The sequence below is a fragment of the Homo sapiens genome, chromosome 4 (genome assembly GCF_000001405.40).
Source record: "Homo sapiens chromosome 4, GRCh38.p14 Primary Assembly".
NCBI lineage: Eukaryota > Metazoa > Chordata > Mammalia > Primates > Hominidae > Homo > Homo sapiens.
This window is the reverse complement of record NC_000004.12, coordinates 136,581,660-136,599,459: the sequence shown is the minus strand read 5'-3', so window position 1 is coordinate 136,599,459 and position 17,800 is coordinate 136,581,660. Positions and strand designations below refer to the sequence as shown.

Genomic DNA, 17,800 nt, shown 5'->3' with positions numbered 1-17,800 from the left:
GATAGGGAACTAATTTCATTATTCTGCATTTAGATATCCAGTGTGTACAGCACAATTTATTGATGTGACTGTCCTTTCTCCAATATACATTTTAGGCACCTTTGTCAAAATGTGTTCATTGCAGACATATAAATTTGTTTTGGGGGAATTTATTCTATTCTACTGGTCTATGCATCTGTTTTTCTGCCAGTATCATGCTGTTTTGGTTGCTATAGCTCTGTAATTTAATTTGGAGTCAGGTAATATGATTCTTTCAGGTTTGTTCTTTTTGGTTCAGGATAGCTTTAGCTATCCTGGATCTTCAGTGTATCCATATAAAATTTAGGTTTTTTTTAATTTCTGAGAAGAATGTCATTGATATTTCGATATGGATTGCATTGATTCTAATCTGCAGATTGCTTTGGGTATTATGGACATTTAGACAATATTTATTCTTATGATCCATGAACATGGATTATCTTCTCTTTTAGGTGTCCTCTTCAATTTTTTGCATGAACACCTTCTATTTTTCATTGTAATGACCTTTCACTTTTACATTTAGGTATTTTATTTTATTTGTAGCTATTGTAAATGGAGTTACTTTTAAGATTTCTTTTTTAGATTGTCAGCTGTTGGCATGTAGAAATGCTACTGATTTTTGCACATTGATTTTGTATTCCACAACTTTATTGAATTTAATAGTTCTAATAGTTTTTGGTGGTATCTTTAGGTATTTCCAAATATAAAATTGTATCACCAAAAAACAAGAATAATTAGACTTTGTCTTTTCCAATTTGGATGCTTTTTTTTTTCTTTTGTCTGATGGCTCTAATTAAGACTTCTAGTACTATGTTGAATAACAGTGGTGAAAGTGGGAGTCCTTGTTGTGTTCCAGATCTTAGAGAATAGGTTTTCAGGTTTTACAGATTCAGCCTGATACTAGCTGTGGGTCTGTTGTATATGACTTTTAATATATTAAGATACATTTCTTCTATACCCAGTTTTTTGGGGGATTTTTTTTCCTGAAATGATGTTGAATTTTATCAAATGCTTTTTCTGCATCAATTCAAATGATATGTTTTTTGTTCTTTATTTTGTTGATGTAATGTATCACATTAATTCGTGTATGTTGAACCATCTTTGCATTCCTAGGAAAAATCCCACTTGTTTATGATGAGTGATTTTTTTTTAACTTTTATTTTAAGTTCAAGGGTACATGTGCAGGTTTGTTCTGTAGGTAAATTTGTGTCATAGGGGTTTGTTATAGAGATTATTTCACCACCCAGTTATTAAGCCTAGTACCCATTATTTATTTTTTTCTGATCCTCTCTCTCCTCCCTAATTCCATCCTCTGATAATTCCCAGTGTCTGCTGTTCTCCTATGTGCATCCATGTGTTTTCATTATTTAGCTCCCACTTATAAGTGGGAACATGTGGTTTTGGTTTTCTGTTCCCACATTGGTTTGTTAAAGACAATGGCCTCCAGCTCCATGCATGTTCATGCAAAGGACATGATCTCATTCTTTTTAAAGGCTGCACAGTATCCATGGTATATATGTACCACATTTAAAAAATCCAGTCTACCATTGATGGGCATTTAGGTTAATTCCATGTATTTTCTATTGTGAATAGTGCTGCAATGAATATACACATGAATGTGTCTTCATGATAGAATAATTTATATTCCTTTGGATATACACCCAGTAATGGGATTGCTGAGTCTAATGATTTTTCTGTTTTTAGGCCTTTGAGGAATTCTCACACTATTTTCCACAAAGGTTAAACTAATTTACATTCCCAACAACAGCGTACAAGCATTCTTTTTTTTCTGCACAACCTCACCAGCATTTATTTTTTGACTTTTTAATAATAGTCATTCTGACTGCAGTGAAATGGTATCTCATTGTAGTTTTGCTTTGTATTTCTCTACTGATCAGTAATGTTAGCTTTTTTCCATATGATTGTTGACTGCATGCATGTCTTATTTTTAAAAGTGTCTCTTCATGTCCTTTGCCTACTTTTTATTGGGATTGTTTGTTTCTTTTCTTATAAATTTGTTTAAGTTCTTTACAGATGCTGGATATTAGACCTTTCTCAAATGCATAGTTTGCAGATATTTTCTCCCATTCTGTAGGTTGTCTGTTTACTATGTTGACATTTTCTTTTGCTTTGCAGAAGCTCTTTAGCTTAATTAGATTCCATTTCTCAATTTTTGTCTTTGTTGCAATTGCTTTTGGTGTCTTTGTCATGAAACCTTTGCCCATCCTTAAGTACAGAATAATATTGCCTAAGTTGTTTTCCAGGGATTTTGTAGTTTTGGGTTTTACTTTTAAGTCTTTAATCCATCTTGAGTTAATTTTCATATACGGTGTAAGGAAGGGGTCCAGTTTCAATCTGCATATGCCTAGCCAGTTATCCCAGCACCATTCATTGAAGAGGTAGTCCTTTCCCCATTGCTTGCTTATGTCAGATTTGTCAAAGATTAGATTGTTTTAAGTGTGCAGTCTTACTTCTGGATTCTCTATTCTGTTCTATTTGTCTGTGTATCTGTTTTTGTACCTGTACCATGCTGGGTTTTGTTTGTTTGTTCTTTTACTGTAACCCCATAGTATAGTTTGAAGTCAGGTAGCATAATGCCTCCAGCTTTGTTCTTTTGGCTTAGGATTGCCTTGGCTATTCAAGTTCATTTTTGGTTCCATATGAATTTTAAAACAGTTTTTTTTCTAGTGCTGTGAAGACTGTTCTTGGTAATTTCAAAGGAATAGCATTAAATCTATACATTGCTTTGGGCTGTACTGACACTTTAATGATATTGATTCTTCCTATCCATGGAATGTTTCTTCCATTTGTTTGCATCGTCTCTAGTTTTTTTTGAACAGTGTTTTGAATTTCTTTTTGTATAGATCTTTCCATTCCCTGGTTTGCTGTATGCCTAGGTTTGTATTCTTTTTGTGGTAATTGTGAATGGGATTGCATTTCTGACTTGGCTCTTAACGTGACTGTTCCTGGACACATACCTGCTCCCAAGACTGACTCAGGAAGAAGGTGAATCCCTGAACACACCAATAATGAGATCTGAAGTTGAATCAGTAATAAATAGCGTACCAACCAAAAAAAAAAGCCCAGGACCAGACAGATTTACAGCTGATTTCTACCAGATGTACAAAGAAGAGTTGGCACCCTTCCTGCTGAAACTATTTCAAAAAATTGAGGAAGAAGGACTCCTTTTTAACTCATTCTATGAAGCTTGCATCATCGTGATACCAAAACCTGACAGAGACACAACAGAAAAAGTTCAGGCCAATATCCCTGATGAACACTGATGCAAAAATCCTCAACAAAATACTGGCAAGCTGAATCCAGCAGCAAGTCAAATGCTTATCCACCATGATCAAGTAGGCTTTATTTCTGGGATGCAAGTTTAGTTGAAGACATGCAAATCAATAAATGTGATTCATCACATAAACAGAACTAAAGACAAAAACCACATGATTGTATCAATCAATTTAGAAAAGGCCTTTTGTAAAATTCAACAGCACCTCATGTTAAACTCTTAATAAACTAGGTATTGAAGGAACATACCTCAAAATACTAAGAGCCATCTATGACAAACCCACAGCCAACATCATACTAAATGGACAAAATCTGGAAGCATTTTCCCAAATGATCTTTTTAATGTGTCATTGAATTCAGTTTGCTAGTGTTTTGTTGAGAATTTTTGCATGAATATCGACCAACAAGATTGGTCTGTTTTCCTTTTTGCATGTGTCTTTGGTTTTGTTATCAGGGTAATACTAACCTTGTAGAATAAATTTGGAAGTATTCCACTCTCTTCTATTTATCAGAATAGTTTGACTAGAATTACCACTAGTTTCTCTTTAAATGTTTGGTATAATTCAGCAGTGAAGCCGTCAGGTCTCAGACTTTTCTTTGCTGGAATACTTTTTGTTACATCTTTGATCACGTTAATTGTTATTGGTCTATTCATGCTTTTTTTTTTCATAGTTCAATTGTAGTAGGTTGTACATGTCTAGAAATTTATATATTTCTTCTAGGTGTTTCAATTCATTGGCATATAGTTGCTTATAGTAACTATGTCAGAATTGGTGGGTTCTTGGTCTTGCTGACTTCAGGAATGAAGCTGCAGACCCTAGCAGTGAGTGTTACAGTTCTTAAAGATGGTGTGTCCGGAGTTTGTTCCTTCAGATGTTCAGATGTGTCCAGAGTTTCTTCCTTCTGGTGGGTTCATGGTCTCGCTGACTTCAGGAGTGAAGCTGCAGACTTTGCATTGAGTGTTACAGCTCTTAAAGGCGGCGTCGGCGTCCGGAGTTGTTGGTTCCTCCCTGTGGGTTCATGGTCTCGCTGACTTCAGGAGTGAAGCTGCAGACCTTTGTGGTGAGTGTTACAGCTCATAAAGGAGTATTACAGCTCATAAAGGCAGTGCAAACCCAAAGAGTGAGCAGCACCAAGATTTATTGCAAAGAGCGAAAGAACAAAGCTTCCACAGGGTGGAAGGGGACCTGAGTAGGTTGCCGCTGCTGGCTCAACTGGCCTGCTTTAATTCCCTTATATGGCCCCATCCACATCCTACTGATTGGTCCATTTAACAGAGAGCTGATTGGCCCATTTAACAAAGAGCTGATTGGTCCATTTTACAGAGAGCTGATTGGTCCATTTTGACAGAGTGCTGATTGGTGCATTTACAATCCTTTAACTAGACACAGAGTGCTGATTGGTGCATTTACAATCCTTTAGCTAGACACAAATTTGTCCAAGTCCCCACCAGATTAGCTAGACACAGAGTGCTGACTGGTGTGTTTACAAACCTTGAGCTAGACACAGAGTACTGATTGGTGCGTTTACAAACCTCTAGCTAGACACAGAGTGCTGATTAGTGTGTTTACAATCCTTTTGCTAGACAGAAAATTTCTCCAAGTCCCCACCCAACCCAGAAGCCCAGCTGGCTTCACTTCTCAATGGCTTGCTTTTTGTGCTAACATATACGATATATCTTTGAGAATGATCTGTGTGCTGAGGAGCAGAATGTATATTCTGCAGCTATTGGATTCAATGTTCTGTGATTATTTACTAAGTCCACTTGGTCTATAGTGAAGATTAAGTCTGAAGATTCTGTCTAGATTTTTCTCTCTGGATAATATATCCAGTGATGAAAATGGGTTGTTGAATTCTCCTACTCTTATTGTATTGGAGTCTATCTCTTTAGCTGTAATAATATTTGCTTTATATATCTTGGTGTACCAGTGTTGTGTGTATATATTTATTTAAAATCATTATATCCTCTTGCTGAATTAACCCATTTAAGTATCACTACTCATGCTCTTTTTTGTTTCTACTGCAATGGAATATCTTTTTCCAACTTTTTAAATTCAGTCTATATGTGTCTTTATAGATGAAGCTTGTTTCTTGTAGACAACAGATTATTGGTTCTAGTTTCTTAAATTCATTCAGCCAGTTTATGTCTTTTATTTGGAAAGTTTAGTCCCTGTGCATTCAATGTTACTATTGATAGGTAAGGACTTACTCCTGCCATTTTATTACTTGTTTTCCGGTTGTTTTGTGGTTTTCTCTTCCTTCTTTCTTTTCTTTCTGTCTTCCTTTTAGTGAAAGTGGTATTCTTGGGTGATATATTTTAATCTCTTGGTTTTTATTTTTTGTGTATCTGTTGTATATTTTTTTGATTTGAGATTACCATAAGGCTTACAAATAATATCTTATAACCAATTATTTTAACCTTATTACAACTTACCACTGATTGCATAAACAAACAAAGAAGCAAAGAGAAAACTAATAAAAACTCTACACTTTAACTTTGCGCCGTTTTTTAACTGTTTCTGTTTCTATTTATATTTTATTGTAGTAGTGTCTATGTCTTGAAAAGCTGTTTAGTTATTATTTTGGATCAGTTCAACTTTTAGTCTCTCTACTCAAAATATGACTAGTTTATAAAGCACAATGATAGTGTTATAATATTCTGTTTTTTTGTGTGTGTGTAATTACTATCACCACTGAAGTTTGCACCTTCAGCTGATTTGTTATTGCTCATTAGCATCCTTTTCTTTCAGACTGAAGAACTCCCTTTAGCATTTCTTGTAGGTCAGTCCTGGTGTAGATGAAATTCCTCAGCTTTTGTTTGCCTGAGAAAGCCTTTCTCTTTCGTGTTTGAGGAATAATTTCACGATCTATACTATTCTAGGATAAAAGTGTTTTTGTTGTTGGTGTTGTTGCTTTTGTTTTTTCCTCCAGCACTTGAAATATATCATGCTATTCTCTCCTGGCATAAAATGTTTCCATTGAAAATTTTGCTGACAGACATGTTAGAATTCCATTGTATATTGTTTGATTTTTTTGTTTTTTTTGCTGCTTTTAGGGTCCTTTTGTTTCATCCTTAAACTTTGGGGATTTGATTATTAAATGTATTGAGGTAGTCCTACTAGAGTTAAATCTGCTTGCTATTCTGTAACCTTCGTGTACTTGAATATTGATATCTTTCCCTAGGTTTGGGAAGTACTCTGTTATTATCCCTTGGAATAAATTTCTACCCCTATCTCTTTCTCAGCCTTCTCTTTAAGGCCAATAACTGTTAGACTTTCTCCTTAGAGACTATTTTGCAGATTTTAGAAGCTTGCTTCATTGCTTTTTATTATCTATTCTTTTGTCTCCTCTGACTGTGTATTTTCAAATAATCTGTCTTCAAGCTCATTAATTCTTTCTTCTGCTTGATCTGTTCTGCTGGTAAGACATTAATGCATTCTTCAGTATGTCAGTTGCATTTTTCAACTCCAGAACTTATGCTTGAATCTTTGTAATTATTTCAATATCTTTGTTAAATTTACCTGATAGGATTCCGAATTTCTTCTTTGTATTATCTTAAATTTCATTGAATTTCAGCAAAACTGCTATTTTGTATTCTCTGCCTGAAAGGTCACATAGCTCTGTCTCTCCAGTTGGCTTCCTAGTTTTTTTGTTAAGGCCATATTTTCTTGTTTGGTCTTGATGTTTGTGGATGGGCATTGGGGTCTGGGCATAGAAGAAATAAGTATTTGGTTTATTCTTTGCAATCTGGGCTTGTTTGTATCTGTCCTTCTTTAGAAGGCTCTCCAGGTAATTGAATGAATTTGGATATTGTAAATCTAAGTTTTCAGTCTTTGTAGCTGTAACTGCTTTAGGGGCACCACAGGCCAAGTAATGCTGTGGCTCTTGCAGACTTGTAGAAATACCACCTTGGAGGTCTTAGATAAGATCTGAAAAAAATTCTCTGGATTATCAGGAAGACTTTTGTTTTCTTCCCTTATTTTCTCCCAAATGAATGGAGCATGTGTGTGTAGCTGCATGAAGCTGCTGGAGGAGTGACACAAGTACTCATGTGGCCACCACCAATAGTACTTCCCTGTGTCAGACTTGAACCCAGCATGGTAGCAGGTCTTGCCCAAGGCCCATGGTAATCAGTAACTGACCGCTGTCTATGTTCACTCAAACATTAGAGCTCTCTAATCAGCAGATGGGAAAGCCAACCAGGCTTGTGTCCTTCCCTTTGGATTGGCAAGTTTCCCTCAGCCCCAGGCAGATCCAGAGATGCCATCCAGGAGCCAAGTCCTAGAGTCAGAAACCTTAGGAAATGGCATTCTATTCTACTGCAGACTTCTATTATATACTATTCTACTTATGGCCCCCAAGCCACAAGACAACATCCTTCCTTCTCATCTCTCTCATTTCCACAAGCAGAAGAGTGATTCCCCATGGCCACTACCCCAGACCCACAGTGAATACTGCCTGGCTCTGGCTATGCCAATGTTCAGTCAAGGCCCAAAGGCTCTTCAGTCAGCTTGTGGTGAATGCTGCCAGAACTGAGATTCTCCTTCTAGGGTTATGGGCTCCTTTCTGGTTCAGGGCAGGTCCATAAATGCCATCCAAGAGCCCAGGCCTGGAATTTTCAGCCCCATGGGCACACTTGGTTCTGCAACCACTGTGGTTGAGCTCATACCTAAGCTGCAGGACTAATTCCCCTTACTCTTTCCTCTCTATTCCTCAAACAGAGGTAGTTCTTCTCTGTAACCACCACAGTTGAGAATATGCTGGGTCACACTTGAAGCCAGAGCATCTCTGAGTCTCATCTAAGGCCTATGGCAAATACTACCTGGATATTGCTGCTGACTTTTCAGAGCCCAAGGGCTTTTTAGTCACAAGTAATACATCCTGGTAGGACTGGGTTCTTCTCTTCAAGGCAGCAGGTTCCCTTATGGCCCAGGGTGGGTCTAAAGATGTCATCCAGGAGCTAGGGCCTGGAATATGGGCCTCAAGCCTTTGCCCAATGCCCTGCCCTACTGTTGCTGAGCTGGTATCCAATTTGCAAGACAAAGTCCTTCCTACTTTTCTCTCCTGAAGTAAAAAAATGAGTCTCTGTTGGAGCTGTGAACTATGCGATCTAGGTTTGGGGAAGCAGTGACACAAACACTCCTTTGACTGCCACAGCAGGTATCTTACTACATCATGTTCCTACCAAATCCCTCGGCCCTGAGCCCAGCATAACATCAATATTTGTTTAAGAATTGCAGCCCTTGTGGTCTAGATTGCCTTTCCAGTTATTTAGGACCTCAGTGCACTTTAGCCCACAGTGGCAAGGCTTGCCAGAACTCAGGCTCTTACCACTGGGATGGGTGATTCCCTTCTGGCTAGGAGTGGTCTAAATGCTCCTTCGTGGATGCCAGCTGAGTTTTGCTCCATGTTGCTTTTTGCTATGACAGACCACACTGGGTTCTAATGCAAAGTCCCACAATCACTGTGCTCTTCTTCCCCTAAATGCACAGATTCTCCCACCATGGCATGCAGTGGCCTCCAGGGGATGGAAGAGAGGTAGCAGCAGCCATTCAAGACTGTCTTTTCTACCAACTTCAGTGCCTTTTTCTGTAACATGAAACTAAAACCAAGTACTGTGATTGCTTGCCTAATTTTTGCTTCTCATGAAGGTGCTTTTTTGTATGGATAGTTGTTCAATTTGGTGTTCCTGTGGGGAGGAAAATAGTGAAGATTTCTATTCGGCCATTTTGCTCTGCCACCTCTGTGTGATTCTTTTTGTAATCAACTATCACAGAACACCTCTTGGGCAGAATATTTACATCCCTCCTATCTGCCAAATCCACATACACCCTCAAAAGCACCAAATTCTCATTGTATCATATCATCACACTCAGAATCTATATAGATCTTATAATCTATATTAGGTCTGGATGTTGATACTTGGCTGCAGTTTGTTTTAATCTGAAAAACTATGAAGAAAAAAAAGAAAAGTTATCTGTTTCCCCTTTCCAAATGCCTAGCATGTAATGATGGCACACAGATTAACAGCTATGGACCCTCCCATTTGAAAAGAGGAGGAATGGGAGGCACATAGCAATCTCTGACAATTCTGAATTCAGGTTTGCTAGACTTGCTATTGAGATTGTTTATATTCCTTAATTAGGTAGGTTCTAGCTCTGCAACTTGAGAATATATCTCTAGTCCGCTGTTCTCCATTTTGACTTGGTTTTATAAAATGTTCTTTCTTTTCTATTGTTCTATTTGGCCACTTTAAAAAAAATATGTTTTTAAAGAAACAGCGTCTCACTCTGTCAACCAGGCCAGAATACAGTGGTGCAATCATAGCTCCCCGCAACCTGGAATTCTTGAGCTCTAGTCCTATCTCATCCTCCCAAATAGCTGGGACTAGGTGCACAACACCATGCCTGACTCTATTTGGACTTTTCTGAAACGAGAATAGTATGCATGTCTTTTGAACTACTTCTGTCTTCTTAGTCTAATTCATGCTATTTCAAGGTGAGATCACAATGGCCTTTTTGCATTTAAAACAATCTCAGTTACTTTTAGGCCATGCTGCTGGTACATTTACTGATTATAATAGTTTATTTAACAAAATTGCCAGGACTAACACACATTATTCTTATTCAAGGCAGGTCTTTATACTCAAGCAATCCAGTGCTACTATGGACATGTCAGTCTACTGTAAGACAAAACCACAATGATTCCTAGAATCCCTTTTTTCCACTTGAAAATATGCCCTATAAAGTGCCTTCATTTTTTCAGTGGCCTTTCAAAGTGTGTCACAGCAGACAATGTGATTGGATCTTTACCCTGATGACATACTTTGGCAATCTTTTTATGGCTTAAGAATCTAGGTATATTACATAGTTTTATTTTCTAACTGTCAAGCTCTGTCCCCTTTTTATTTCCTCCACTTTTTGCTTGTCAATGCTGGGCCAGATAGCTTTTCATCTCAGCTCTTTCTTGTAGTACCTTAAGTGCAACAAAGAAGTACCACTGACACATTCATCATTCTTCCTGGAAATCTCATAACTTGAGGTGTGGGTATAGTGTAGTCCAATTTAACAATTATTTCTTTCATGGACTGAATTGTAAATCATGTTTACATGGGCCTTTTCCAAACTCAGCTTATTAGGAAATGTCCCTATGTCTTCTAGTACGTTTATGGCTTTATTTTTTGCTTTTAAATATTTGATCAACTTGGCACCTTTTTAGTGTATAGTATGAGGAGTCTCCTTCTCTTTCTTCGTTCCTCCTCTTTCTCCTCCTCGTCCTCATCCTCCTCTTCCTGCTCCTCTTCTTCTTCCTCCTTCTCCTGCCCTTCCTGCTCCTGTTCCTCCTCCTCCTTCTAGGTGGCTGCAGTTGTCAGAACATCATTTCTTAGTTTACATTTTCTCCCTGATTTGAGATGGCTCCAGAACAACTAAAAGCACATACTCTTGCAAACTATTTTGGGACTTTCTCTTCTGTTCTATTCATCTCTCTTTCTAGGTATGCTCTATAACACATTGCTTTAATGTTGATGCTTTATAATATGTTTAGTATCTGGTAGGCCTAGTTTCCACTCTTGGCACTTCTTCATTAGAGTTTCCTCCTTTATGTTTGTATGCTTATTATTTTGTGTGATTTTATATTAAAAAACTCCCCTAGTTTATAAAAATGATATTTTGTAGATGAATTCATTTGTAGACAATTGAAATCATTATAACATCAAATAACACAATATAGTTTTGCATTTGTAAGAGCATCATTTGTTCCCACGAGAGGTTTTTTAAATTATTCTTTATATATATATTAGGTATTTCCTGTTTAATATAATTGCCAGGTATATTTAACTTTTGTTTTTACCATAGATTATTTTGCATAGTTAGACATTCCAAATTATAATTTACTATATAATGAACACTAATTATTTCTGTTTATAAGTTTGGTTGCTTGAAATATTACTGATTTATCTTATTGTTTGGGTTTGATTTTAGTTTCTTCCAGCGTGTTTTATAGATACGTCATCTTATTGTCTGCAAACATAGATAATCCTATTTTCTTTTTTTATTCTGCCTGCTGTACCCCATACAAACAATTTACTTACCTTTTCTAGTTGTTTTTATTTGAACTCAGGTACAAAGTTTAACCTCTTAAAAGGGGAACTGAGATTGTGATAGATCTTTTTTATTATCTTAAGAAAATATCTATTTTATATTTTCTTAAATTTTCATTTTCAAAATATCTGTTCGATTTAGTCAAATAATTTTTATTACATAAAAATTCTATAATATTTTTTCTAGAAATATTGGTTCAATAAATTATATAAATCAATTTAATAATGTTGAAACATTCTTGAATTCCTAGAATAAATCCAACTCAGTCATGTTGCATTTATTTCTTTAAACAAGTTGTTAAAATATGTTTATTTATGATGTTTAGATCAATGTGCATAAACAATATTGTGATTTTATTTTATGTAAAATTATTGTCACCTCTTGGTATTAATATATACTCAATAGATAATATAAATTTGAAAACTGTTTTTTATGCACTTTGGAGATATTTACATAGCATTGCAATTATCTGCTTTTTAGCAATTTGCTGAAGTTACCCCTAAAAAACTCAGAGGCCTCCTAAGGCTTTGATTCAATTTGTTTCATTCACTTTCATTGTTATTTCATTGTTTGGGAGCAATATTCCCATGGATATCATTATACACAGATTTTATCTTCTTCTGGGGTCAGTTTGAATATTTTTCTGAAAATTTCTTAAACAGGTTTGCACAATTACTTGCATATTTTAAAGCAAGTCTATTTTATTTAATTCTTATAATTTTCCATTTACATGACAATTTCTCTATTATTTTATATTTCATATGTATATCCGTATTTTTTTCTCTTTTTTCTTTGATTAGGTTAGGTAGAGATTCTGCTGGTTGGTTAACATTTTTCAAATAACTATTTTTGACATTTGTATGTGAATTAAAATATTCTGCATTTCAACTCATTGGTTTGTGTTTAGAATGTTTGTATGTCTGCAATTTCTGCTTTACTAATGTTGCTGTTGTATTATCCTGCGCAAAGATATGCAAAACTTTTATCTTCAATGTAAATTGTGTACTTCACTCTCAGCAAGTGTTATTTTATCAGATGCAGTAGTTTTTGATATTAAGGTCACAATCCTGCTTTTTGTTTTCATTTGCAAGGAGCACATTTTCCCATCATATTAATTCTCAGCTTTATGAATCACTTTTTACATACATCCCTTTTATAAAGCATAGATCCAAAGTAAAGATATTTTTAAAAGATGAGTTAACTCTGTTAACGTTTATTCATAACACATTACTGTTATAAGGTTTTGTCATAATTTTGTTATATTTTTTGTTAACCTGTTTTTAATAACTCACTATACAATTTGTTTTCTTTGTTCCTGTGGGTAGTTCTGATATTAACAAAACATTTGCATTTTTATTCTACTAACTTTTTTAATTAAAATTTTACATATCACTCTTTTTAAAAGACATTTTCTATTAGTTTCTTATTGTTAATAAACTAAAAATTAGCAAAACTTTATCCTTCTTGTCTACTTTCTAAATTTTCATTTGATAATATTACCATTCTTACTGTCCCTTTTTATAGCTTCCTCTTAAATTGTGTAGTCTGCATGAGTTCTTTTTTGGCCTTGCCTTCCACATCACTCTGAATCTTAATATTTAATACAGAATTGTGCTCATCAGTGTTACTGAAATTACTGAACTTTTGCATCATTATGTGTAGCACAATTGCTCCAGCAAGAAGAATAATTTTGCCTTTCAGTGTGAGCCCCTCACCTTCAAAAAGGATACCTTTGCTGATACTTTCTGGTATCTGATGCCTTTCACTGCCTCACTGCATTTATTTGATTAAATGTCTTCTCTCATTCAAAATGGAGTTTGTGTGGGTGATTCCAGAATGAGACATGGAGCATGATTCTTGCCAGAAGTGCTACATAATTCTTGAAAGTAGACATCAGAAGTACTTTTATCCAATTTTAATTGTGAAGGAAAAATAATGAAGGATATATATATATATACACACACACACACATATGTATATATGTCAGAATATATCTGTTAATATCAAACTATCCATAAGAACAAAAAAACAAATTTTGTGTGTGTTTATGTGTGTGTATATGTATATATATACCTGGGTGGCAGTTATGCAGCTACCACACTAGAGGGCTAGAACTCAAAAGCAATACCTTTTTTTCCATAATCAGAGAGGTTGTCCTGAAAGATGCTCTGATTAAATAAGATTATCTCTCAGCTATCCCGTATACTTATGTTCTATTAATATTAATCATGTTATGTACCAAAGTGGGTTTATTTGCCCACACAACAAAAAGCCAAACACCAAAGCACTGGGTGTTTGTAGAGAGAAAGTTTTATTGTAAGTCAATTGGCAAAGGAGACATGTAGCAGTGCTCAAATTGGTCTCCTTGGGCTGGTAGATGGGGCTGATTTTATAGGCAGAGGGGATAAGAGGCATGATCTGATTGGATCTTGCAATGAAATGATGCTAGGAGGTGTGATACCAGGGCTCTATCTGATTGGATTATGGGTCCATGGATCATGCCATGAGGGGCTTACTTTTTAGTTCAGTCCCCATTCCTTGGTCTAAGCATTTAGGTTTTGCCCATAGTTGCACACTTGGTTCATCTGGGCATGCTCTTGTTATGTAATTGCAACTTGGGTTCTATGGCAACTGGAAAACAATTCAATTTTTTATTACACAAAGTTAAGCTAGATTGAGCTGGTCCTGTCATTACAATAAAAAATAAGTATTGGTAAGGACAAACCATTGCCAAAAATGTGATACTTAGACATGTTTGTTTTTTAACTTTTCAATACTAATTAAGGTTTTATTTATTGAGTTTATTTGTCTAAAACATGGGTAAATCTCTAGTTTATCCCCTTCTTCTTTGGTTTGGAGAAATCCAAAGCTCTGCTTAGTTAGTCACATGTATTTGATTGATGACATTCTATAATACATATTAATAATATTGTGTTGGCTGGGCGCGGTGGCTCATGGCTGTAATCCCAGCACTTTGGGAGGCCAAGGTGGGCGGATCACCTTAGGTTGGGAGTTCGAGACCAGCATGACCAGCATGGAGAAACCCCGTCTCTACTAAAAATACAAAATTAGCCGGGCTTGGTGGCACATGTGTGTAATCCCAATACCTGGGGGGCTGAGGCAGGAGAATTGCTTGAATGGGGGAGGCAGAGGTTGAAGTCAGCTAAGATCGCACCATCGCACTCCAGTCTGGGCAATAAGAGTGAAACGCTGTCTCAAAAAGAAAAAAAAAATTGTGTTAACGGTGCCTCACAGTGTCTATGGACTATTCAATTATTCTCTCCATTTTGAGCAACTATGATTGTGCTTCCAGTGATTTGCTGAAAGAAATTGGACAAAAAAGGAAACAGTCATGCTAAAAAATGAGTTTCAGTTTTGTGTTTAGTACAGTGGTATTAATACTTTAATTAGTGCTAGGTAGTGTGATAACCTGACGATTGGGTTAGGAAAACAGATATCGAATGAAGACTCAAAAAAATGTAGAACCCAAGCAGGATGCATAAAGAGAAATAAGATTTTGTGCTTTGAAAATTTTATTTTGCAACTTCACAGCTGATAAATGATAATCTGTTTAGAGGAAAAACTCTAAAAACAAACAGGCCAAGAATGGGCAAATTCTATGCTTACATGCCATATGTCTTCTCCATGTGTTTCTGTGTTTCAACATAACAGAACAGAAAAAGAATAAAAACTATAAACATTTTTGACTTTCTCAAAAAGTTTTCCCCTGAGAATGAAATGACAAATATGACAGATTATTTGAAGACTGTGGGATAGAACCATTTACATTCTACTTTGAATCACTGAACAGACTACATTAAGACACCTGAGAACGTATAGAACAATCCTAGGATAAAATAAATAAGGGATTGGATTTGAGTAGCATTATATAAAAGTAAAATAAAAAATATTCTTCTTTCTGCAGGTTGAGTAATGATTTGGGGAGTCATAATTTCACATAAATAATTTGTGTCTAAAATTCATATACTGTCCATTATCCTAAGTTGCAGATCACTGATTTAAAATTAGAATGTGACATTTTAAATAACATCCCAAAGATGTTATAGTAAGTAAACTAATATGTCTTTATTAGTCCTTGAGAATCAATTTCAAAAGCCTTTAGATTCTGATGAAAATTATGCAAATTCCAGCATACTGTCATCCTTATAGTTTATGTTAATTTGACATTAATGTTAGCTGCCTATCACACCAACAATAATCTATCTGAACTAGCAGGCTGGAATACCAATTACTGAAATGAGTGGAGCTCATCCTTGAAGTTTCTTCTTTCTGTTGCAAGTAGACATATGTCAGCACACAGGGAATAGCACAGATGTATCAAAGTCTTTCAAGTAACCAGACATCTTTCTGTAATGGAGAAGGCTGTGGTTGACATACTAAATCTTAAAAAGAAAGAGAAGTCACTTTGTATTGAGAATAAAAAGAGCCGAAAGAGAAAAAATGATGTGAAGATATTCTTACATATTTAGAGTCATTATTAGAGAATGTTGGCCAAGTAGAATCTCTAGTTTTGAAATCTTTATTTTACAATGAATTACTATGTATCTTTTTCAATTTTCTTGTCAAGAATTCATGATATTAATTGATTTTTTCAAATGAGGGCTTTCTTTTCCTCCCTTTTGATTCTGGCTGCTGACGTGAATTACCTCAATTTGACTTACAATGAAAGTAAAAATTTTAAAAAAAGAAAATGACTTTTGCCATTCAAGGCACATTGTTATTTGTCTTCAAAGAAGGAGTATGCTGGAATCTATGAATTTTTGTGCATGTATTTTCTTATAGTGATGGTATTTTTTTATGTTAGACTTAAGTTGAATAACGGGAAAGTCCCTGAATAATTCCCTCGAGTTTTCTCCCTTCTTGTACTGTGGGAAATATCATTACAAATGATTCCAAGAATATATGCCAAATACTTATCTTTTTGTAATTATTTTAATACTCATAATGTGATAGTTAAAAGGTTACTTAAACAAAATATCCATTTGATGTAGTTACACATTATGTTGCACCATTAGCTAAGTTTTTATGTGCATGTTTATTTTCATTTGCTTTGTTTTTCCAAATAGTCTATAAAGGTCTTAAGATTTAAGAAAAGGTCTAATTCCTTTTGTTCTCTTCACAGTGCTGGAGAAAATAAAAATTCAAGATTTTCTATACTAACTGTGACACAATTATATATGTTAGCAAGAAACAATTATTATAACTCACCTGACTCATTAACCCAGAAAGTACAGTAACACATTGACAAATGTTATCATGAATGTATATAGTGAGTGAATATTTAGGACAGACATAAAAAGATTAAAATGACAGATTAGGGGAGACCGTTCAAGTATTTGGAATGAAGAATTGATCTTGTTATAATTAAAGATTAACAAGAAGCTACCCATTAGGAAAATATGTACCAAGATGGTACAAAGACTCCAAGGGTAAGGAATATTCTTGACACCACAGTCATTTTTCTCCCTAGGATTGAGTTGTATGAAGGTTCACAGTGATTGCACAAGTGTTAATTTAAAATCTATTTGTAATATATTTGGATATAGAGAATCAAGAGAGTCATAAAGCAAACATCCGTATAACTTTCATCTAGCAAAACAACTATTTACATTTGCCACATTGCTTAAAATACATTTTACTGAAGTATTTTAACATAATTGCAGACATAATGATAATTCATCTCTAAGTATTTTAGTATGCATCACTAAAACTAAGGACATTTTTCTATATAGCAACAATGCCATTTGCTCAGCTAGCAAGACAAGTAATAATTCTTAAGATTATCTAATACCTTACCCATACCCAAATTTCAGAATGAAGAGTTTAGGGTCATTGCATTTCAGTGTATAATATGAAAAGCTGTGTCCAACCATTTTTCTCCACTTATAAAGAAAGCAAGCCAGCCAGGCACGGTGGCTCATGCCTGCAATCCTGGCATTTTGGGAGGCCGAGGTGGGAAGATCACTTGAGGCCAGGAGTTCAAGACCAGCATGGCCAACATAGCAATGGGTATCTCTACTAAATCTCTACTAAAAATAAGAAATTTAGCTGGGCATGGTCGTGCACAACTGTGATCTCAGCTAATCGGGAAGCTAAGGTATAAGAATCGCTTGAATCTGGGAGGCAGAGGTTGCAGTGAGCCGAGATCACACCGCTGCACTCCAACCTGAGTGACAGAGCAAGATTCTGTCTCAAAAAAAGGAAAGAAAGAATGAAAGTGAGAAAGAAAGAAAGAACAAAAGAAAGAAAGAAAGAAGGAAAGAAAGAAGGAAAGAAAGAAAGAAAAAGAAAGAAAGGAAGGAAGAAAGAAAGAAAGAAAAGAAATGAAGTCTGTGTTTTCGATGGATGGCTCTGAAATGCTCCCT

The 17,800-nt window shown here is 35.5% G+C and overlaps 1 annotated feature.

Annotated features, from left to right (window-relative positions):
• Positions 3,634-4,833: an enhancer, noted in NCBI's record as "BRD4-independent group 4 enhancer chr4:137515782-137516981 (GRCh37/hg19 assembly coordinates)". NCBI's record gives its function as "activates an origin of replication core promoter dependent on BRD2, P300/CBP, MED14 and CDK7 cofactors, and independent of BRD4, by STARR-seq in HCT116 cells {active_cell/tissue: HCT116}" and the evidence as "EXISTENCE:reporter gene assay evidence [ECO:0000049][PMID:35650434]".